The sequence below is a fragment of the Homo sapiens genome, chromosome 5 (assembly GCF_000001405.40).
Source record: "Homo sapiens chromosome 5, GRCh38.p14 Primary Assembly".
Taxonomy (NCBI): Eukaryota; Metazoa; Chordata; class Mammalia; order Primates; family Hominidae; genus Homo; species Homo sapiens.
Window position 1 is genome coordinate 7,373,150 of NC_000005.10, and position 23,358 is coordinate 7,396,507.

At 41.0% G+C, this 23,358-nt stretch overlaps 1 protein-coding gene and 2 long non-coding RNA genes across 7 annotated transcripts in view, besides 2 other annotated features; 2 read left to right on the forward strand and 1 right to left on the reverse strand.

Annotated features, from left to right (window-relative positions):
• Window positions 1-16: 16 nt before the first annotated feature.
• Window positions 17-18,755, forward strand: LINC02142 (long intergenic non-protein coding RNA 2142). The gene is made up of 4 exons (NR_183263.1): window positions 17-366; window positions 6,464-6,564; window positions 13,775-13,901; window positions 18,142-18,755. It is a non-coding gene; the product is annotated as a long intergenic non-protein coding RNA 2142 (long non-coding RNA).
• LOC107986403 (uncharacterized) lies at window positions 17,499-22,800 on the reverse strand. Its single transcript, XR_001742597.2, has 2 exons — window positions 20,927-22,800; window positions 17,499-20,825 (listed from the first exon to the last, which is right to left on the reverse strand). It is a non-coding gene; the product is annotated as an uncharacterized LOC107986403 (long non-coding RNA).
• Window positions 21,539-22,304: an enhancer, noted in NCBI's record as "H3K27ac-H3K4me1 hESC enhancer chr5:7394801-7395566 (GRCh37/hg19 assembly coordinates)". NCBI's record gives its function as "activates a minimal SCP1, AML or CMV promoter by ChIP-STARR-seq in naive H9 embryonic stem cells {active_cell/tissue: H9 hESC(naive)}" and the evidence as "EXISTENCE:reporter gene assay evidence [ECO:0000049][PMID:30033119]".
• Window positions 22,305-23,070: an enhancer, noted in NCBI's record as "H3K27ac-H3K4me1 hESC enhancer chr5:7395567-7396332 (GRCh37/hg19 assembly coordinates)". NCBI's record gives its function as "activates a minimal SCP1, AML or CMV promoter by ChIP-STARR-seq in naive H9 embryonic stem cells {active_cell/tissue: H9 hESC(naive)}" and the evidence as "EXISTENCE:reporter gene assay evidence [ECO:0000049][PMID:30033119]".
• ADCY2 (adenylate cyclase 2) overlaps window positions 22,989-23,358 on the forward strand; it is a 433,944-nt gene continuing 433,574 nt past the window's right edge. For all 5 annotated transcript variants that reach the window (NM_020546.3, XM_011513942.3, XM_047416645.1 and 2 more), the window contains exon 1: window positions 22,989-23,357. In NM_020546.3, the coding sequence (NP_065433.2) occupies window positions 23,148-23,357 (210 nt within the window). In that variant the 5' untranslated portion in view covers window positions 22,989-23,147. The remainder of the gene's footprint in view (window position 23,358) is intronic.

Genomic DNA, 23,358 nt, shown 5'->3' on the forward strand with positions numbered 1-23,358 from the left:
CCCCTCAAGGCTGAACCTCCTCACATGTTGGAGCTTTAAAGATACAGCTGTATCAGGCCAGGCGTGGTGACTCATGCCTGTAATCCCAGCACTTTGGGAGACCGAGGAGGGCGATCGAGACCATCCTGACTAACATGGTGAAACCCCATCTCTTCTAAAAATACAAAAAATTAGCCAGACTTGGTGGTGTACGCCTGTAGTCCCAGCTACTCAGGGGGCTGAGGCAGGAGAATCGCTTGAACCCAGGAGGTGGAGGTTGCAGTGAGCTGAGATCGCGCCACTGCACTCCAGCTTGGGCGACAGAGCGAGACTCCATCTAAAAAATACAGCTGTATCAAATCTGCTTGTGCTTTGGCCATCTGAGAGGTGAGAATCTTCTGTTTTTGTTATTTGCAACCAATTCTTAAATAAGTAACAATGTCAAATCAAAATAATCATAGCATATTATTAAAACATTATGAAAATATGTAGAGATATTAAATTTATTTGAGATATAAGCTTATGTAGCAATATTTACATGGACATCACCCTTGCTTCCTATATCCAAACCAGAAAATTCATAGAGTTGACTTAATCAAAAATACAGAATTTAAATCTTCATCTATTATCTTCGAAGTAAGGGATTAAGGAAGAATAATCCTATGATTCCCTCTCTTTACTAATTTATAGTATATTGCATGATGAACACATTTGACTCTCAAGTCAACAAGGAATGAAAGAGATTAAGCAATTTCATTAGTTATCTAACTCTAAAATGAATGATGTATTTATAATGATTCAGGATGCTGATACAGTGCAAACATGTTCTTACTGCAGCCAAAGCTGAATTGGCTGGGGAGAAATTGGGGATGATCATGAGTAAAATATTTCTTCCTTCATACTTAAAGACGACAGAGAAAGAGACAACACTGTAAAGGCAGCAAGATCATCATCTGGCACTTAACAAAGCTGAAAAGGTTCAGCTGCTGCTTCCAGCAGAACTCAAAATGAAGAAGTTATTTGTATCTTATTTTTCTTTAGCTCTTTTTACCCTATACCATACAGAGGTGTTGGCCACAGGGGAATGTCCAATGAATCATCTTGTTATGTTGCAGAACACAGAGGGCTTCTCTAGATTTTTTTTTAATGGTTTTTGAGAAATAAAAGAGCGATATTCCTGACTCTTTCATTACTTCCTCACTGAGAGAGTTAACACATTTAATTTCTGCTTGACAGCTGGGCATGGATTAAGCGTGTTAAGCAGGTAATCCCTTATCTTTCAAACCTAGAGATTTCCCCAATGGCATCTCAAAGATGTGCTTACAAGGCAATGTATATTTCGTTAGTTACTTACTGAACTGGAACTTGGTTTCCCGAAGGCTGTTACCAGGTGTTTTACCAGGTGACCCATGTCAAAAATGACTTATTTCTCATTAATTCAAAATAAGCACTTGAAGCAATGCCCTGATATGTTTAAATGATGTGTTTATATTGGCATAAATAATGAATATATTCTTGTTATTGTTTCTAGTCCTTGACTTAACATCAGAATGCTTTCTTTATTTTTTTTGAAGATTTTAAAAATATATTATAAATGGAACACAGTCATTTCAGAAAATGTGGAAAGTAAAAAAAAAAAATTGTATGCATAAGTCACCAATTCTTCCACCATCCACAGTTTATCACTTTTTTTTTTTTTTTTTTTTTTGAGACGGAGTCTCGCTGTCACCCAGGCTGGAGTGCAGTGGCGCAATCTGGACTCACTGCAAGCTCCGCCTCCCGGGTTCACACCATTCTCCGGCCTCAGCCTCCCCAGTAGCTGGGACTACAGGTGCCCACCACCACGCCCAGCTAATTTTTTTTGTATTTTTAGTAGAGGTGGGGTTTCACCGTGTTAGCCAGGATGGTCTCGATCTCCTGACCTCGTGATCCGCCCGCCTCGGCCTCCCAAAGTGCTGGGATTACAGGCGTGAGCCACCGCACCCGGCCCACAGTTTATCACTGATAAGGTTTCCTTGTGTGCTTACCTTAAACATTTGAAATAATGAGTGATCAATATTTTAACTATTCATTTAATACTATAGAATAATTTTCCCAACTTTTTTGAAAACATGAACATTAAGGATAGCTTAGCTTAAGTGCTCAATCTCATACTGTCCTTTTAGATACTGAGTAACCCCTAAATGTGTGTACTTTGATCGCACTTGTACAAATTTCAGCAATCGCGCTGATTTCAGTAGATATATTATATGAATCATGTGAATAAAATTCAGTGATATCTTCACCAAGCAGAAAACGATGTCCTCTGGCCTCCTACAGTTCCTAGGATACCTGCCTCAAGCCAGCTCACCCATCCGCAGCACCACTAAATATCTAACGTCCTGAAATACCGATTCCTATGGAAACCTCACCAAATGGACAGTGAAATGGGAGGATGATTAATGAAAGATTTTACTTCTCTGATGCCTGAGATTTTCTAAACACATTTCCTCTGTTGTTTGTTCTAGAGTGAATTCTTTTAGTGTCTGAGACTACATTGATTTATGTGGCTGATGTAAACAGGCACACACATCCAATTCTGAGTCTCTTTCAGGAAATATTACAAAATGTATACTACATTCCTCGTCTCATAGATGTAGCTTGATATTTTTTATTTCTAGTTTTATTATAGTAGCATTTCTCCATTAGCCTTCAGCAGGAAATGACAGTGTACTTTTAAAATAACTTTATGTGTTAAAAGGATTTGGGTCGAGATAATTTAGAATTAAGAAGGAATAAACGTATTTTGTAAATGCAATGTTCCAAAAGCCGTCTTTGGATCCCAGCCTAAAAGACTCTGATTCTTATCACAAGCACTCTTTTTTCTTTCTTTCCTTTCTTTCTTTCTTTTTTTTTTCAATCCTGAGATAATAGCTTTCCATCTTGCTGGTCTTGGGATGCAGGTTCTACCAACTTTCAAGACAGGGTTCCATAATAGAGTTCGTTTGAAATATTCAGGGCAATGACCCTGCAAGGCCAGTAAGAACTGGCCTGTGTCCTCCTTGCCCTGCAGACGATGTGGCTGGATACATCAGAAAGATAGCTTCAAGTGCATGAGCCTGCCTGGCTCATTCTCTATATTTCTCTGATAAGGATGGGGCAGAAGAGGAAGTCAGATCAACAAAACCTACTTTTGTCAGGTCATGAGCTACTGCTAGATGCTTCATGTACCCATGAACTTACTTTATCAAACACTCCCACTTATAATTGAGGTTCAGAGAAGTTAAGATATGGCCCCAGGCCATTACAAAGAGTGGAGCAGCATCAGGGCTGAGTCCATGTGCTTAACTCTAAGCCCAGGACCTTCCATTCTTCCATCCCTCCTCTCCAAGGTCACAGTACCCAACCCCTGCAACCTGCCATGGCCTCCTCCCTTGCCTGTTAATTCTTCTTTCCTTGAGCTCTTCACTTGCAGCTCTCCCACTTGGACCACCCTTCTCCGTGTGAATGCACGTTCTCTCCAACACCTTTACATTTAGTTTTGTGTCAGCTTCTCTTTCAGTCTTGCCCAGCTCTCTCAGAGTGTTTCCACTTTCTATTGCCTTCTCTTTTTATTTCCCTTTCTCCCTTCAGAATACTATTCTTCTGAAAGAGCAAAATTAGTTCCATCAGCAACAAAGTGTAAGAACAGTATTATCAATAATATAATGACGTTAAAAATATCCTCAATCAGGCTGACACTTGAATCCTCCTTTAGGAGTCCCTGGAGGGCTCTTGACCCGGGCACAAAGGCAATGCTTCAGACCTCTGAGGAACTTTTCCACAAGATGGGGTTTGAGATGGGGCAGGTGACAAGAACTTCTTGGGGGAGAGAAATAAGGAAGAGAGAAAAGAGAGGAAATAAATGCACAGCTTTAAGTTTAACTTCCTCTTCGCTTTCTCTCTGCCTCACATTGGCACTCATCCAGGGCTTGTTCTCTTCCTAGAATTGGGGGGGTGACCTTCTCCCATCTCCTAATCACTGTCATCTCCCTGCCTTCTTGCAAAATTTTCTTTTCTCCCCAGTTGTCAGTAGTTCTATGCAAATTCTTCTCAGGAAACAATGGTTACGTATATACACTGCAGACACAAAAATATTGGCCAGACACATGCAGAGTGTAGCCCTATTAAGAAAGGGCACTATTCAAATATCTTGCAGAAAATCTAGCTAGTAAATGTTCACTGATGATCATGTTTCATGAAATAGAATGACTGGTGAGCTGAGTGCTGCATCTGCCTGGATAGCCTCTTGTCTCACTCAGCCATGGGGCATCTTTCTCGCTCCCCATTGGTGGCTTTCAAGAATCATGTTCTTTTCCATCATTTCAGGGCTGATATTAGTCCACAAATAACTCAGTCAGAACTGAGCACTAACACTGCAGGCCCAAGTTTATGAAGACACAAGAGTAAGTTCTGACCCACAATTGGGATGATATCTTATGGGAGGCTCCGTGGTTCAGATCAAAGTGCAAATAAGACAAGTTTCATCTCATTTCATCCCATTTTCATAACATTGTAAATTCATATCTTAATAACTTCAGACAATTTTCTCAAATATGTATTATCTTAGTCATAAAGGGAACAATGAAAACATGTTACTGGATTTGACACAGAAAAACAAATCTAAGTAACTGCACCATTAGTGATAGGTTACATACAAAGAGAGACACTGTTCATTTTCTAATAAAGTGTAGCAATTCGTATTTCCTTAATTGGACACTTTCCAGGTTCTCTGTTTTTCCTAAGTTAGGTTATGCAACTAAACCCACCACTCCACAGAGATGAATTATAATCATTTTAATAGGGGAGTATACGCTGACCTTGGAGTTCTCTAAATTGCTCAAAGTGAACAGGAAGTAATTATAATGGGCTGCAAGTACACTCAGGGAACTTACAAAATGCTGTTGAAAACTCACACTATAGCTATTATATGATAAGATATACTGCTTGGTCCTTCAAACTTCAAACTTCTATCAAATTAACAAATAACATTCTTTAAAGAAGAACATCAGGAAGATAGTTCATGTATGATTTAGGTAAACATTATCAAATGCCTGTACACAAACGCACACAAAAATTGTGGCACAACATATGGGATGAGTAAATAAAACCACAGAGGAAATGCGTGCCTACGTTCACACCTGCCATTCTGTGGGAGGTCTTCAACGAAAATGATCACCAAAGAACTACCTGGAAGAGCCCTGAGAACATTGTTCCTCCTCTCAGGAATGAGTGGGGAAGCTCAGTATTGTGTGTAAGCTCCTCTTCCAAGGAAGAGTCATGAATGGACAGCCGCGGACACTCATTCTGGTTCACCATGTGTCTATGTTCCACTGGAGGATCCGTGGCCTCAGGGGCATCTGGGCAGCATTCAGGATGGGAGGGGGCGGCTCTGTGTCCCAGGAAAGGAAGAGGTAGAGGCCTTTAGAGTTTGCTGTACCTGGGGCTTATGTGAAGCGCGTTCTCCCACTCACAGCCTCTAGCTGACCTAGGTTTCTGAGGCTCCCAAAACAAAACCCCTGGAAAGAATGGGGCCCTATCTTCAGGATTCTGAGATTCTGGAAGGTAACCATACTGAGGTGGAGAAGAGGCATCGGTAGGAAAGAGAATAAATCAGAAAGTGAGAGAAATACTCTATAGGATTGGAGTTTAATGAATTGTGGTATGCACTTGCTAGAGTATTTTGCCTATTTAATTTTGACTAGAGACCTATAACTTTATTATGTGAATAACTTATACTTTAGGCCATTACCTAGCACAGCTAAATTAAATATTTATTTCAAGATGAGATTTGTTGGATGAATATTTAATGATAGGAGCTTTATTACTGAAAATTGTTATTATGTCATTTTTGATCAACACTGATCTTTTAGCTTTGTATCTATTACTTTTTCATTTATTTTGGTATCTATAAGAAAGATGTATTTTATTTTTATTTTCACACATTGCGTATTAAACTGAACATTTTATTTGTTCCTACTGTCTATTTTTTATTTTCGTAGAGATGGAGTCTCCCCATCTTGCCCAGGCTGGTCTCAAACTCCCAGCCTCAATAAATTCTCCCACTTTAGCCTCCCAAAGAGTTGGGATTAGAGATGTGAGTCGCTGTGCAAGGCCCTCAGATCTTCCTATTCTTAACAGTGGTTTTACTATTACTTTCCTACCCGTACTATAACTTGATTTCAGACCAGAGTTTCCAATCAGAAGTTAAATTGTCATATTGAACTATTTTCAATACAAATGTTTGTGAAATATAGGAAAAAAACATGATCTAAGAAATTCTGAAATGAATACATGTCCTAAAATATAATTTTAAAATGTTTGATATTAAATATACCACAGTCAAATTTGGCAATCCTTTAAATGATATATTAATGATTTTGTTGTTTTAGAATAATTTTGTCTGAATTTATTTCTATATAAATATTCCATCCTACAAACTACTTCTTATTTTTTTCACATACAGATCTTAAGTGTGCAATGCAATGAGGATGGAGCAACGTATACACCAATCAAGAGAAAGAACATGTCCATTACCCCAAAAAGTTCTCTTACACCCGCTTCCAGGTGATGCCCCTGGCAACCATGAGTTTGGCTTGTAGCATCAAGACTTTACCTGTTCTTGAATTTCAATATATGGAACCAGGCAGGAGCATAATTCAGCTTCTTTGATTCACAGTTCTTGAGATTCATTCATGCTGTTGTTTGTATCAGTAGTCCGTATATTTTTTAAATTAGTGAATCATATTCCATTATGTAAACGTACCACAACTTCTCACATTATTCTGTTGATGGACACACGACCTTTTCCAGTTTGGGTTGTTATGGGAAAAGCAACTGTAAACATTCTTAAGACTTTTTGTGGGCACTATTGTTTGTTTTTGGTAAATACCTACTAACAGCGGAATTGCTGGATCTTAGGGTTGGTGTAAGTTTACATTTCTCAGAAACTGCTGAACTGCTTTCCAAAGTAACATTTTGCACGTATGAGAGTCTTAATTCCTCCACAACCACTCCAACATTGGGTGGTATTGATCCATTTGATGTTAGCCATTGGAGTAGTATGAAATGCTTTTTGTGAATGTAATTTTGGTTTAGCTCATGAACAATGGTATTGACCATACTTTCATGTGTTTAGTGGCCACTGGTATATTTTCTTTTTGAAACATATGTCTAAGTATTTTGCCTATTTAATTTTGAATTTTTTTCTTTTTACTGAGCTGTAAGAATTACATAAATTCTGGATCTATGATAATCCTCAAGTATACATATTCCAAATATTTTCTTTTACAATGTGGTTTACATTATCATTTGTTTAATCATATATTATGAACAGAATTTTTAAAAAATCACATCCAATTAATCAAATTTTTCCTTTTATGTTGAGTCCATTTTGTGGACTAAATATCATTGCTATACCAAAGTCCTGAGGTTATGCTCTAATATTTTCCTCTAGCAGCTCTCTAATGTTAACTTTTATATTTAAGGCAGTGATCCATCTTAAATTGATGTTTTGGTGATTTGTTATGTATTCTTGACAAAATGAGCCTTTTAATATGTTTTTTAAGTCTTTCATAATCTCTGGTAATATTTCCAATCTTGAATTCAATTTCATCTGATATTAATCTAATTCTACCAGCTTCCTCATTCTTACTTTTGTATGCTATATCTTTCCTCCATCTTTACACAGTTCTTTATCTGAGACTTTATATTATGTAGCTGAACCTGATTTTTTTATCTCATCTTCCAGTCTCTGCTTTTTAACTGGAGTATTCGGTCTATTTATATTTAAGACAATTACTGATATGATTGGTCGTAGTTCTTCCGCCTTGCAATGCATTTTCATTTTGTCTCGTGTGTCTTTTATTCCTTTGTTTCTCACTTCCTATATTATTTTGGGTCAGATTATTGCTATTAGAATTCCAATTCAATACTTTGATTGAATTTTGTTTCAATATTTAGTTAAACTGAAATCTGTACTTGTACTGAATTAAAAGTAGGACAGTAGAAATAGTCCAAACCAAACGAGAAAAATATTTTAAATTGTACTTTTTTAGTTATACATTATATTTCTTCTTAGTGGTTATTTTAGGAATTAAAATATGCATTCTTAATTTATCACTGTCTGTTTAAAACCATAAATATTACTTCACATACATTATAGAAGCTGTCAGTGCATAAATTAACCTATCTACCTGTGTTTTGCTAGTGTCATAATTTTTATAAAGTATTTGCTATAAACTTCACATTACAATTAAATCATTTTTGCATTAAATATCTAGTTTTAGATAAAATAATAGAGGAAAAAATACCATCTTTTACATCTGCCCACATGTTTCTTATTTTATTTTTATATTTTTGAGGAAGTCTTTCTCTGTGGTCCACGCTGGAGTGCAGTGGTGCAATCTCAGCTCATTGCAACCTTCGCCTCCCAGGTTCAAGAGATTCTCGTGCCCCAGCCCCTCGAGTAGCTGGGATTACAAGTGTGTGCCACCACACACGGCTAAATTTTGTATTTTTAGTAGAGATGGGGTTTTGTGATGTTGGCCAGCCTGGTCTCAAACTCCTGGCCTCAAGTGATCCTCCCCCAGTGACCTCCCAAAGTTCTGGGATTACAGGCTTGAGCCACCCTGCCAGTTGCATCTACCTACGTATTTCTGTTCTTTCCTGTAGATGTACATTTCCATCTGATATCATTTTCCTTCATGCTGAAAATGTTTTATGGCACAGGTCTACTGGTAATTAATCTTTTTCAGATTTTATTTATCTTAAAAGTCTTCATTTCAAATTCATGTTCTGCTTGATATAGACTTCTCAGTTAATGAGTCTGAGTCTGTGTGCATGTGTGTATATGAGTGTGGAATGCTGATTTCCAGAGTTGTGCATTATTTTCTGATCAGGGTTGTTCTGATATATCCATTCTGCTTTCATAGAAATCATAACTCTTAGAGCACTATTTAAAAATATTAATAATTCAAGATAGCATAAATCAACCTTTATTATTATTTTTCAAATTCATATACTAGGCAGGAAGTAAAAAGAGAATTAAATGTACATTTGAAACAAAAGTATATTTGTAAAAAATCTTACATTTACTAAATTATAATGCCAATATAGATGGCCATTAAATTAATCCTTACACTGGAATTGGTATCCAGTTAACAATAATTCTCATTATTATTTATATTGGCCTAAATTCATTTTATCTTTGCAAAATAAAATTATGGAATTCTAAAACCAATCATTAGTTGACAGGGAAGGTTGTCAACAGAAAACTACAATTCATAAATACAAACATATTTTATTATTAAGTATCATAATATATCATTTATTTGGTTTTAGTTGAATAAAACAAGTTACCCCAGGTTTCTTTGCATGTATGAAAGAAAATAAAAAATGTTATGACAATACAAAATATGGATGGTCACTACTATTTATTCATTTTCTCTAGTGCCATTGTTGTCTTGATTCTATAATCCAAACTCTCAAATTAAAATGGATGCTTCACATTTTCTAAAAGTATTCTTTTGGGGAGTTGAAGAGTGTTTACTCAGGAAACAGCCTCACAATGTTACACATATTATATCTGTATGATGGATAGATCCCATGAAAATATGTCAAGCTTCGCTGGCAGGCGAAAACATATGGTAAGGGTTAGACATTTACCATGTGTGAATTTTCTAAGAATAAGTGGTAATAAAACTAGCTCTGCTGTCAGTCAGCTATTCAGTATTCCAAAGGATAAGTGCACATTAAATTCATGGTATTATATTCAGAATTTTAACATAAATAGCACTCCCATAGAGTAGCATGATAATGTTTATTGTTTGCCTATTTGTGGTGGTCAAACTTATTAGATTTGGTCCAAGTGTCTTAAAACATTGAAATCGGAAAATCAGAAGTCATCTTGTCCAGTCTATATCTATCACAGATCTCATTCTTCACATTTACCAACTCCCTAGAGAATCTGTTTCATCTTAAACAACTAGCAGAAGGAGAAAAGTTCTTCTATTGTACCAAGATATATTTCTCCTAGTTTTCAAATTATCGTTTTAAATTTTATATCATTGAATCTTCTCAGATAAGCTTCTTTCAGACGTTAGCTCAGAGCTCAATACCAGTTCCTACTGTATATCCACTATTTAGATAAATGATGAGATCACCAGCCTGAAAATATTTCAAAATAGCTCTTTAATTTTACTAAAATTAAATCAGAAGTTTTTTTTTAAATTTTTCCTTGAAACCATGTGCCACTGTAACCCCAGAAGAGGTAAGGATATACATTGCTAAAAACAAAGAGAACACTGATTACTTTTTAATCTTAAAATTGACTTTCTTGACTTCTTTAGCAAAGCAATGATTATCAAAGGCTTCTTCAGGAGAGAAATGACTATTATACATTTTTTTATCTCCTCTGGGATGGACACAGCAGCTTGCCAGTTTAACCAGAACTTTTCTCTTTTTCCTTGCTAACTCAACCAATATTGATTTTGTTTAGGCATCTGCTCAGCACAGGCTCTGGAGAGGTAGGCTCCAGGGAGTGAATCCTCATGGATGTTGGCATTATGGTGATGTCACTTATCTTCCTGTGAATGGTTGGAAGATATGTACACAGCCTTGCTCTGGCCAATGGCTACAGGGAGAATTCTTCTGTCTAAAATGTCCTGGGGGCAAAAACCCTTTTGTTCCCATGCCCTTTCTATTCAGAATTCTGTTATGGGAGTACAGGACACTTCTTGCTGCAGTGGTTACCTTGTACCCAACAGGTGACTAGGGAAGAGTAGTCATTGTGCCAAGGATGGTACAGCAAAGTGATAAATGGCCCTGGGAATATAGGACCTCATGGAGCCACCTCCAGACATCTTGTTGGATGCGATTATTAATTACCTAGATAATTGAATCTTGGGTTGTCAGGAATCCTCTTCCTTGATGCTGAAAGCCATCCTAACCACTACTGCACTTTTAGCACATCAAAAGGCAGGTCTGCAGACACAGATCTAAGAATTTCATTGAATTCCAAGGACAGAGAAAAGGAACATATGAAGAATAGGAAGTGGAAAGTCCCAGACTGGGTAGTAAGAAGAAAGAAAGGAGGGAGAGCTAGGGAGGATTTGGAAGCGGGGAATGTGTTCTCATAGAACCTCCATAGGAGGAGGCAGATGTTAGAAAAATTTAGGACATGTGTGATAGTCAAAACATTCAACAACCAGTATGGCACGGGCACAGCCCTCAGGGTGGACTCCTGTCTTGCACTCACAAAGGGTGCTGTACCAGAGCAGCACCAATAGCGCCTGGCAGGCTAGCAGGGGGAGAATCGGTTTGCTGCTGAGAACCTGTCCCTGACCCCCACAAAACACACCCAATTTTGTGGCATGGACATGCCTCAAAAATCCCTGCATGCCTCTGAATGTCAGGAGGCCCTGAAGACAGCTGGGGTGAGAGCTAGCCATCTTGCCTCGGTCTATCAGGGTGCCAGGCAAAGTTACCTCAGTCAAGGGTGATGGAAAAGAGTCCGTGAGAGCTGATGGAAGTCTGGCAAGACTGGAGTGCCACCAGACCCTGACTGGGGTAGCCACAAGTTACACCATCCATCAGCCAGTGCTAATGGAATGACCAGGGCAGACACACCTCAGAAGCCACTGGCACAGTGAGCCTTTCTGACAAGTGAGGATCACAGAAGCCCCTGGATCTGAAGCTAAGATTCCTCTTGCATAACGAATCTCCCCTTCCCCTCACTCCTAGGGGACACTTTGGTTAAGTTTGGAAAGGGTGAGCAGATCTTGAAAGTGGAGCCGCTGCTGTCAAATCAGAGATTGGGTTACATAAAGGGGTTATATAAATATAACCCCATTATATAAATATAAATATAAATATAAATATAACCTTTTTATATAACCTAATCTCATAAAAATACAATCTGTATAATTCAAGGTAGTGTAAATAAACCTTTATTCATATTTTTCAATAATAATATAACCCAATCAATCAATAATAATAATATATAATATAATAATCGGTAATAATAATATAACCCAATCTTATATAAAATCTGTATTCATACAGATATATAAATATATAAGTATATATTATATATAATATATAAAAATATAACCCTTTTATATAACTCAATCTTATATGATACAATCTATAACACCATATATATGGGGTTATATAATTTATCTGTATATAAATTTGTATAGATATATTTATATATAAATACAAATTTATATACATCTGTATATAAAGGGTTACATAAATATAAATATATAATATTTATATTATATATAAAGGGCATTATACATAGATATATATATATAATAAGAGGTTATTTATATATAATTATAACCCCATTATATAATACAATCTTATATGATACACTCTGTAACCCCAGTGACAGATTATATTAGTCTGTTCTCACGCAGCTATGAAAAAATACCCGAGACTGGGTAATTGATGAAGGAAAGAGGTTTGCTTGACTCACAGTTCCACATGGGGAGACCTCAGGAAACTTACAATCATGGTGGAAGGCAACAGGGAAGCAAGGAACCTCCTTCACAAGGTGGCAGGAGAGACACTGCGTGCCGAGTAAAGGCAAAAGCCCCTTATAAAACCATCAAATCTCATGAAAACTCACTTACTATCATGAGAACAGCATGGGGGAAACCGCCACTGTGATTCAAGTACCTCCCCCTGGTCCCACCCTTGACACATGGGGATTATTAAAATTCAAGATGACATTTGGGTGGGGACACAGAGCCAAACCCTGTCACAGATCCCGATGGATGGTACTGCACTCCAACAACTTCCTCTCCTCCCTACCCCAGAGACGGGGCTCTGTGAAAAGCTGAAATCACTTATAGAAAAATAAAGCTCAGGTGAGCTCTACTTGAGACATGTGTTGCTGGGAAGCATTTTTTTTTTTTTCCGAGTTACACTCTCGAAAGAAAGCTCCATTAGGCATACTGTGCAACACAGAGATTCTGAGCCCAGGTTCTGCTTGGTTACTCTTATTGCCATGGTCTTATTTTCTCACCATCATTTCTTAGAGTTCATTTCTGAAATTAAATACACATTCTAAAATAATCAAGTCTAGATTTTGTATGTGCTCATTAATCATTTTAAAATTTGCTATGTTTTAATTATCTTTAGTTGCTTACTCCCACTATTATTTAATTGAAATTTATATTCCACCTATTTTTAAACCAGTTGGAATTATCTTTTTAATTAAGCACTATTTGAAATAGAACAATCAGAGGACTGCCATTAATCCACTAATCCTTCTTGGGAATTGGGTGGGGTATCAATCAATCATCAGTCAATTAAAAAACAGAAAAGCTTCCAGATGGCTAAAAGAAGCTACAAAACTCAAAGGATTATAGGATTACATATGTATTACAGTAAAAATAAGTAAATTAATTAAACGAGATCATGAATGTGGAGTATCCAGTTGTCCGAGCAGCTTAAACAGTGTGGTCCTTTCCCTAAAGGTCTTATACTATAAGACCTTGTGTAAGTATATCATAAATTATTCTGGGGCAATGATCAAAAAGAAGGTAAATAAGCACAAGTAATCATCTTTTAAATGCTTTAAAACATTTTAGACATTTCAATGGTTTATTCATCTAACAATCACTGGATTGAAAGCGTTGAGTGGAACCAGTATCCCTTCTGCTTCTTGTTATGGAAACCTATTTAATAAGAAACGTACCTGGACAATAGCAGTTCAGCATTTCTTAATACAAATCTCCATGGTTATTTGTCTTGCTTTGTCGCCTAGGCTAGAGTGCAGTGGTAGGATCTCGGCTCACTGCAGCATTGACCTCCTGGGCTCAAGCTATCCTCCCACCTCAGCCTTCTGAGTAGCTGGGACCGCAGAGGTGCATCACCATACTCGGCTAAGTTTTGTAGGTATTTTTATAGAGATGGGGTTTTACCATGTTTCCCAGGCTGGTTTTGATCTCCTGGGCTCAAGCTGTCTGCCCACCTCACCCACCAAAAGTGTTGGGATTACAGGTGTGAGTCACCTTGCCCGGCCTAAGAGCCCTTTCTTAAACTTTGGGCTCTAAAAGAAGTCTAAGTACCAGGCTAAGTACAAAAATCATTTTATAAACTCCATTTTGCCCTTTTGTTTAGATGTAATTCACTGAAACACGACTGATAGACCCCGAAGAAGAAAAGGGCCGAATATTATTTGGGTCAAGAATACTTTACTCTCAGGAAGCAAAAACATTCTGAAAGGTTCCAAATGAAAGAAGACATCTGATGGGCAATGTGTAAATCACTGGACTAATCTGATTTTGTTATGCACTTACACCTGTGATTCCGGATGTCAAATTTCGCAAGTCCTTTATCCCTTGAATTTTCCTATAAAATACCATTGAAAGAGGGAAAGAAGATGGCTAGTGGACACTTTTCTACACCATCAATGTAGAAGGTTGGCAACAAGGACTTACAACTTATTTGTAAAATTTTGTCCAAAACAGACATAATTATATTATTTGCAAATTTAAAGACTAAATATAATTACATACTTTTCACTTCACATAAAAAAGTAAATGCATCCCTGTAACAACACATAATTACAAACTGTACATCTTAAGAGTAGATACTTTGCACTTTAATGAAACAATATAAAGTAATTTGAATCAACACTGAGCAACCTCCAAGCCTGATATATATTTTCTATATTTTAATCTAGATATTTTAACATTAATATCTTTAAAATTTCTAAGTGTATATTTTTTAAATGTTTAAGATAAGTCTTCCATTTGTTGGCTCCTTGGAAGAATATATTTAGAAGAACAGCTCCCTGCAGCAGGGAGACAGATTTTTTTTCCTGTGTATTAGTTATTAGACTGTAATGCAATAATGAGGGTCTAGGTTGAAGATTGCTTTTTTATTCCTTTAGCCTGCTGAGCATGAAAATGTCTTCAACGTTTCTCAGTAACAATGTAAATACAGCTTGTCTTGATAGAGTTGGCACATTAACCATATCTGGTCATTTGGAGGCAACTGGCCACATGAGCCCAGCAACCTTCCCTAAACATTGTCCCAGGCATCACGTTGTACTGAAATAGGAGCTGAGAGAAGTACATTTCAGGTGGCTTATGTGCAGGAAAAAGCAGATTCTGTCTGTTTCAGGAAGGTTCAATTGATTATTCATTTGAAATATCAATTATTACTCTGACAGTATTTTCTTAACTAGTTTTTATATAAAAATTTAGTCACTGTTATCTGTGTATTCATTTTATTAAAAAAACCCCAGTGCTTACAATTCCTTGTTCATAGTGATATAAATGATCATGCTTTTTAAATAATAAAGGACAAAATGAGCCTGCATGCTAGTCATCATCATAATGCATTACTAAAAAGATGTACTCTCAAAATGTCTTTTACTTAACCCTCCCAATACCCAAAATATTGCTTAACAATAGTGGCTTGCTATTTTAAGAGAGTAATCAGGATTGAAATAGTGTTATAATCAGCTAATGGTGCTGAGAGTGGGTGAAGGAGGGAGGCCAAGCAGAGCCCCAGATGTAGATGATGAGAATCAGCTCTCTGCACAAGGGAAGTGGAGGGTTGTGGGTAGGTGAGAGTTGGTGTGGGTGGGTGTGGGTGGCGGGTACTGTTGCAGACAAAGGAAGAAACAGGGATATAGGTCCAGAAATGGGGGTGGGAGTAGGGTGGTCGCAGAAACTTGAGGGGCTCCCTGCAATTATTTCTGGAGCCTAAAGCAAGAGGTATAATGGCATTAGACGGTTAAGCAGGGCAGCTGCAAGCAGGAAGGAGATGATGAGGGAAGAAACTGGGGGAGACTTGAGAAAATACTGGGTAACATTGGCAGCAACAATAGTTGTTTGGATGTGGGCCAGTGACAGAGTAAGAGCAGTACAGTCCAAGCCTCCTGGAGCCAGGAGAAGGTTTGTTAGGTTCGGACATTGAGTTCAGTTTCAGACTTGTCACTTATGAGAGCTGAGGGTGTGGCTGGGGTACTATTTGGAAGAGAAGTGCACAGTTACTTAGGCATGAAGATATTCATATGTATCGCGTGCTGCAGCACTCAAATGTGCTACTTAAAATATTTATTATGGTTTCTTTTTGAAGTCTTCCATTTAATAGCAAAAAATCCTGGATTTATTATAGGCAATCTGTAACTCAGTCCATGAACATGAGGCCTTACAGCATTTGAAATTAAATTTAGAAATATATCACATTTTACAAAAATGCTAGGTGTAATGAACAAACAAAATCCAGCAAACAGCAAGCCTATTCTGATCGTTCTTCTTACTACCCCCTACGCTGGTCTTCACACTTGGCAATCAGTGTGGCCATGCAGGGAGCTCACACATTATACTGCATCCTACCTCTGCCTTCTTGATGTCAATATCTCAATACAGTTAAGCTGCAAAGAGGATGAAATTCTTTTTTTTTTTTTAAATGGAGTCTCACTCTGTCACCTGGGCTGGAGTGCAATGGCGTGATCTCGGCTCACTGCAACCTCCGCCTCCTGGGTTCAAGCGATTCTCCTTCCTCAGCCTCCTGAGTAGCTGGGATTACAGGCCCCTGCCACCACGCCTGGCTAACTTTTTGTATTTTTTTTAGTAGAAACAGGTTTCACCATGTTGGCCAGGCTGATCTCGAACTCCTGACCTCGTAATCCACCCACCTCGGCCTCCCAAAGTGCTGAGATTACAGGTGTGAGCCACTGTGCCTGGCCAAGGACGAAGGTTTAAATTAACGCTTTATAAATCCTGGGAGACTTCATTGATATTGCCCAAGATGTGTTACTGGGAACACACGTTTTGCCCAAGATTTGTTGCTGGGAACTCACAGTACTAGATGCCATTTTCTCTTGATAAAAAATCAACCTCAATGATATTTTCTCCAGATAATCTCTTTTCCTGGACACATTTATTTTGTCATTATTTCTTTAGTATCTCACCTTATATGTACTGTTACCCTTTGCTCTATTGGTCAAGTGGAATTGGTAGCAATAGATGTTCAATCTTTCATGAAAACCTTGCCACTTTAAAATTTGAAAACATCATGAGGTTTTTAAAGATATAGTGGAGGGTACTGTTTAATATAGTATAATAGCAAACATATAAAGACAACCTCTTCAGGACCTGGAAATATTTTTGTCAAATGAAGTTTTGCTTAATCCATTGCCATTACTCATCAATTGAACTCAGTTTTTAAAAGAATGAAGTTGTCTGTGTCTTTCTTGATTTATTCATTCATTCATCTAGCACATACTTATTAAGCACTTATTATGTGTTTTGCAAATTTCAGGTAATAGGACTATAAGGAACAAAAGAAACAAAATCTTTTGCCTTGACAGAACTTACCTCTTAGTGAGGGAACACAGGCCACGTTAATACAAAAGTAGGATTTGTGGGTGTTTACTAATTGTTATGATACACCACTAATACACTTTTTTCTTGCTTTATACCAAAGGAAATAGTACTTATTATTAAATAATTAGACAAAATTCAACAACCTTCTTGGTGCAGTTCAATTTTATTATATTTATATATTTTTAATTGGATGCAAACAATTTTTTTCCTTTCAGTCTAAAAATATTGATTAAAATCCATTCCTTTACCCAGCGGTGGTACAAACATGTTTGAAAGAGTCTTAGAAAAATTGGTCCATTCTTTATTTTCTTACTTTAAAAATAAATCAGCTGAAGCTTGGAGATCTTATGTGACTTCTCCAACGATGTATAGTTGATATCAGAGATGGAACAAAATCCAGTACATTAAGGAAGCAATTCTGAGAATATTCACAATTACTACACTATAGTGTGGAATAAGACTAGAAGTGAATTTGATTTATTTTCAAATTAAAAAAATTATGAATCAAAACATGTGAAGTGGCTTAAAATCATATGTTGGTTGAATTGAATGAGAAAGGTGAAATTGGACAAAAACATGCATGAACTATATCTCGGCATGGTTCCATAGAGGCCATGTCTTGTCCCTCAATAAACATTTTTTTTTTAAATTTTAGAGCATAATTAAGTTACTCCTTAATGACTATTTTAAGAGACACTAACAAGGGTATAAAAATAAAAGCCAAGGTATGTGAACTTTCCATTTACGTAAGCTTGCTAAATAAGCCCCTCTTCCTGCACCTCTCTAGGCAACTGATCCTGAGCACACGTCTCCATGGCGGCAGGAGTCATTGCTTTTTAGATCACGTTCTCCGAGCAAGAGCCGAGAAATCGATATCTCTCACAAGGCTGTAGACGTGCTGGAACTGATTAGTCATTAACCTATTGTCACTCCTCCCAGCGCTCATGGAAGGAGTTGCAGCATGTCAATGGATTTTAAAAGAGTACCAGGATTAAACTTCTCCATGGCAGTGGGCATTTGTGAAAGGTCTGTTCTGAAATACCAGTACCATCTTCTCACATGTTAAGGGCCAAAAATCTCAGTAAGTCACTCCAAATCAGGTTTTACAGATGATTTTTTGAAATATTGATTCTGGTATTGTCCCTGAAAATTTAATTTATCAAATAAGCCAATTAAGAAGCGTCTTTTAAAGGCACGTAGGGACCATTCAGCACTGGATGGACAAGAAAATGAACATATTAATCTTACAGTCAGCAACGTTTTGTTGATGCTTTGGAAACTGAACTGCAAAGGAGTACTTAAATGAACTGAAAGAGTTAATTTGACTTCTAAGAGCCATAAACTGGCTTGGGTTGGGTGGATTCTGTATTCCCAGACTCTGGTTCAATAAAAATGTAAATGTTATCTGGGTACACAAAGCATATTTCATGGCGATAATGAATCTGTTGACATACTGTTCATACTTTATTATATAAATTTTAGTAATGTATTTGCCAGAGAGAAAAATGAATACACAGGGAAAGACTCTGTGCTCAGCTCTACAATCTGCCCCAGGTTGGCTGGCACACGTTCGCTTCTGACCTTGGCGCAGTTTGCTGGGCTGCCTTGATTTAATCAATCAGAGCCCTGTGGATGTTGAGAGGAACACGACGGCGTCATTGACTGAGCTAATCTAACTGGATTTGAAATAGGAGCTAGAAGATGGGTTATTTTTAAACCAAAACCCACTGATGCATAAACCTATCCTGCAGCGTGATTGCTTAGATTTATAATCGATTAGGTGTGTCTTAGTGTGTATGTAATCCCTGAGAGGTGACCACATTAGGAGGGGATGGGCTTGAGTTCGCAGGCAGAGGAGGCCTTCTCCTTTGGCTGGCCTGCCGTAGGCTCTGCCTGCAGGCCCAGAATGGAGTGCTGTTTAGTGTGACCTGTTACCAGCATGGGCTTTCTAATTTGCAAGGCCGCGGGCAAAACGGACATGCAGAACCTTTTGATCAAAAATTTTGAAGAATTTCAGGGTGGTGACAGCAGAACCTTAAACCAGCTGCACAAGTCACAGATCCAAAAAGTCAGCCTTGCTTGCTGGGTTATGAGGATAGAGGGCTGCCCTCTAGCGTTACAGGAAAGAGGAATTCTGCTTCCTGATGTTTGCTTTTTATTTTTTCTCCCACAGGCCCAGTTAGAGATTCCCCAGCAGGTTTCTTTTTGCAACAAATAAATTGCTACAGAGTAAATATATGGGAGAACCTCTTGCTCTCCAGGCCTTACCCTTGGAGTGGCAGCCCTGCTACCCAGAGACACAGAAATGAACCAGAGGTCTCCTTTGGGGTCCCTTTAGTTTCAAGAGTCCATATTTCACGCTCCTGGCTTTGTACTAAAGGACGTTTTTCATTTTACTTCATATGGCTTGTAAGTTATTATTTTGTTTCTTTTTTTCTTTTTTTCCTTTTTGAAATACAAACTTGTGGAGAACTTTTTAAAAGGCATACTTAGTGCAATCGATTCTAAAACATGAATACAGAAACTGTAATGATTGTACTGTTTCACTTTTTTTGGTATTAAACATAAAGCAATGACAGAAGCCCGCATAAAAATAAGCATCAAAACAAAACAAAGATCAAACAAAGCCTCAGAGAAGCACTGACATATTCTTCATTTTTATATTATTTTCCTTCTAAGTCCTGTGTCTATGATGATGAAATTTAAATTGTAGTGTTCAGGAGGAAAGGAGGAGTAGGAATGTTGATTTTTGTTCCTGTTTCACTTCTTGTAGCCTTACTTTTCAAAGTAAATTGGAAACTATTACAAGGGTCCCAGGATCCCTGTCTTTCCCACGCCTTCACCCTGCCCCCTTCATCCAGCACATGGTAGGCACATAATGTTAGTTTAATAAACTAATGGAAGGATGAGTGAATTAAAAAAAATTCAAAAAGATCAAGGGCAAAATAATCTCCATGTCATTACATTGTAACAAAATTTCTTAAAAGTCTTAAGACTGCCTTTACCATACAGAGAACATATATATGGTATACATACTGGATATTTAAAAGATTCCACTTCCCCACTAGGAAGAAGGAGACAGTAATTAAGCATTTCCTTTTCCTCATAAGTTTTTCAGCTCTTTTCGCATAAACCTAAATGACGGATTATTTATTTTTTCTCCCTTCTTGAGTGGGTGAAGACAAACATGTATCAATACAAGGGGTAAAGAAGCAGCAAAGATTGAAGAGAAGATGAATAATTAGTCTGTTGCTAGCACAGGAAAGGACTGGAAATGTGCAACTCTGCCCGCCCCAGAAAGACCAAGCACACAGCCGGAGGAAGACAGAACCAACACAATAGAAACCGTGTCCAGCTTCCCACTCAACCGTGTTTCCTTGGAAGGGATTGGGTTCTGGATATTTATACCGCGGATTCATCAGTGTTGTCTGTCATGGAAGCTTGCTCTCAGAACCTTCAAAAACCTAAAATCTGGGAGTATAGTAATCACATCCTGAGGTTCATAGCAAAGCACCGAGCCCAAAGCATCCAGCCCAGTGAGGTTTGGTGGGAGGGTCTGAGGTTGAAATTACCTGGGTTACAGTCACAGGAGGGTGTTGGAGTGGAGGGCAGGCAGGACAGGGTGGGGGCAGCAGTCCATAAACACTGCAGGGAAGAGAATTTCTTTCTGCTGCTAGGGCAGGATGACCCACGGTGGGAGGTGAGCCTTGGGACCTACAGGAGGCTTCAGGGGGACACCCCCCCACCCATTGCCTCCTCCTCCACTCCTTGTTTCCAGGTCCTCAGAAGGAGGGAAGTCCAGGGACCAGGGAGCCTGGTGGGGCCGGACCTGAGGTACTGCACGCAGCCCTGGGCCCAGTCTCCTCGGCCACCTCCCTGCCTCTGGTGTCTATGAGATCTGCGGGTGAGCTGTGCAGCTCCTGAGCCCTCATCCTTAGGCCCTGTGGGCACTGACGGATGCTAAAATGAAAACCTCTGGAAGGATCCGTGCCCGGCCTGGCCCTGTGCTCAGGGTAACGCAGCTACCTAGCTTACATGCCCTCTGCCAGCGAGGAGGACAGGACAGCCAGGGAGGCGGGGCATGGGGCCATTCGAGAAGGTTCTGAGGTCTTAGGTGGTGACAAGGCTGAGTCCTGAGAGCTGGTCATCTCCTGGAAGAGATGAAAAGTGCATGGAACAGCCCTCTGGGGCTGCCCTCTGGGATGCTCGCTGGTGGCAGGAGAAGGGAGGGCTCTTGTGCCTTGGATTCCTTGGGGTAAGGCTTTGGGGGAGGAGGTGGGATTTGGGGGCTCTTTGGGCCGGACCACACTCGAATAGGAGGAAACTTCCAGAAGGGTGGGTTCCTTTGGTGATAAGCAATGAAGCCCCTTCGGCCCCCAGGGCGAAGGCCAGCGGCCTCCGCTCCCACGCGTGTCGGGAGGGGACACTGTCCCTGGTGACATCCGCCCCCACAACGCTCCTGCCGGGTCTCTAGCGCCTCCTGCGTCCAGGCCCCCAAGGTGACAGGGAGGGAGCTACTCCCAGGGCCGACCCGCCCGCTCCCGCGCCCAGCCGCTCTCCCCGGCGCCCCTTTGCCGCCATCCCCGCTCAGCAGAGGGGCTCGGCGAGGACCACGACCAGCCACGGGGCAGCTCTGTAAACCTGTGATATGACAGGCTTATACGGCACCTCCAAAGTGTGACTGAAGCTGAGCGTGCAGGGCGCAACGGACGCTGCCCCCGCGAGGCCGTGGCGGGGGCTCCCAGTGCAGTCACTGCCGCTTCACTTCCACATGGTGCCGGTCTCCAGTTAGGTCCCCTGGCGTTTCCGCGCCCTGCCGCCCTCGCAGGGAGCCCCGGCCCTCTCAAGAGGGTGGAGAGGATGGGGGAGCCCTCAACCCTGCTACGCTGAGGGGAAGAAGGGCTGGACGGCAAACCGGTGCCCACCGCGGGGAGGCGGGAAGGGTGGGAAATCCTCTCCAGCTCCCCAAAAGAGTGAAAAGGAGGGAGACCCCGCTGTCCTCTGACCCGCGTACTAAAGGAGGGACCCCCCGGGTCCTCTGACCCCGGCTGCGCTCTGTGACTGTGGGGGAGGGTGGGAGCAGGCCCCGCAGCCCACTAAGGGGTGGAGGAAACAGGAGGGTGGCAGCGTCCCTGCCCGCTGACCTTGAGGTAGTGGAGAGGAGCTGAGGAGCCCCGCAGTGCTCCGAGCCAGGTGGGGCGGGGGGAGTGGTGGGGGTAGGACTCCCTCCCTCCACCCCTTAGGCTGTGTTCTCACTTCGTAGCGGGGAGGGCCGTCCCTCCCACCCCACCCACGCTGCACTCGGGATAGGGCAGAGGAGGTGGACGACCTGGTGGCTGAGTGTGGGAGGCCGGCGGGCGAGGACGACCCCGGGCCGGGGCGCAGCGGGAGCCCCTCAGTTCGCCACTCCCCCCACCGTACAGCCCCCGCCGTCCCCAGCCTGCAGCCGGGCCGTCGGGTGGGGGCCGACACCGCCCCTGCACGGAGGCCGGCTGCGCGCGGGGCGGGGAGCGGCGGGCGGAGGGCCCCGTGGAACCCGCCCCCTCCCGCGCGGTGGCGGTGGCGGCGGCGGCGCCGGGAGCTGCCCCCGAGGCCGCCGCCCGGCCCCCGCCCGCGCGTCAGCGCGCCCAGCCCGGGGCGCCGAGCTCCGCCCGCGCCGGAGGCCCCTGCGCGCAGCTCCGGGTGCCGGCAGCCGGGCCGGCCGAGGCGGCGCGGGGGTGGGACGCGGGCGGCCGCGGCGAGCGGCGCTGCCCGGGCCGGGCGCGCACGGCGGGCGCCCTGTGAGCGGCCCCGATGTGGCAGGAGGCGATGCGGCGCCGCCGCTACCTGCGGGACCGCTCCGAGGAGGCGGCGGGCGGCGGAGACGGGCTGCCGCGGTCCCGGGACTGGCTCTACGAGTCCTACTACTGCATGAGCCAGCAGCACCCGCTCATCGTCTTCCTGCTGCTCATCGTCATGGGCTCCTGCCTCGCCCTGCTCGCCGTCTTCTTCGCGCTCGGGCTGG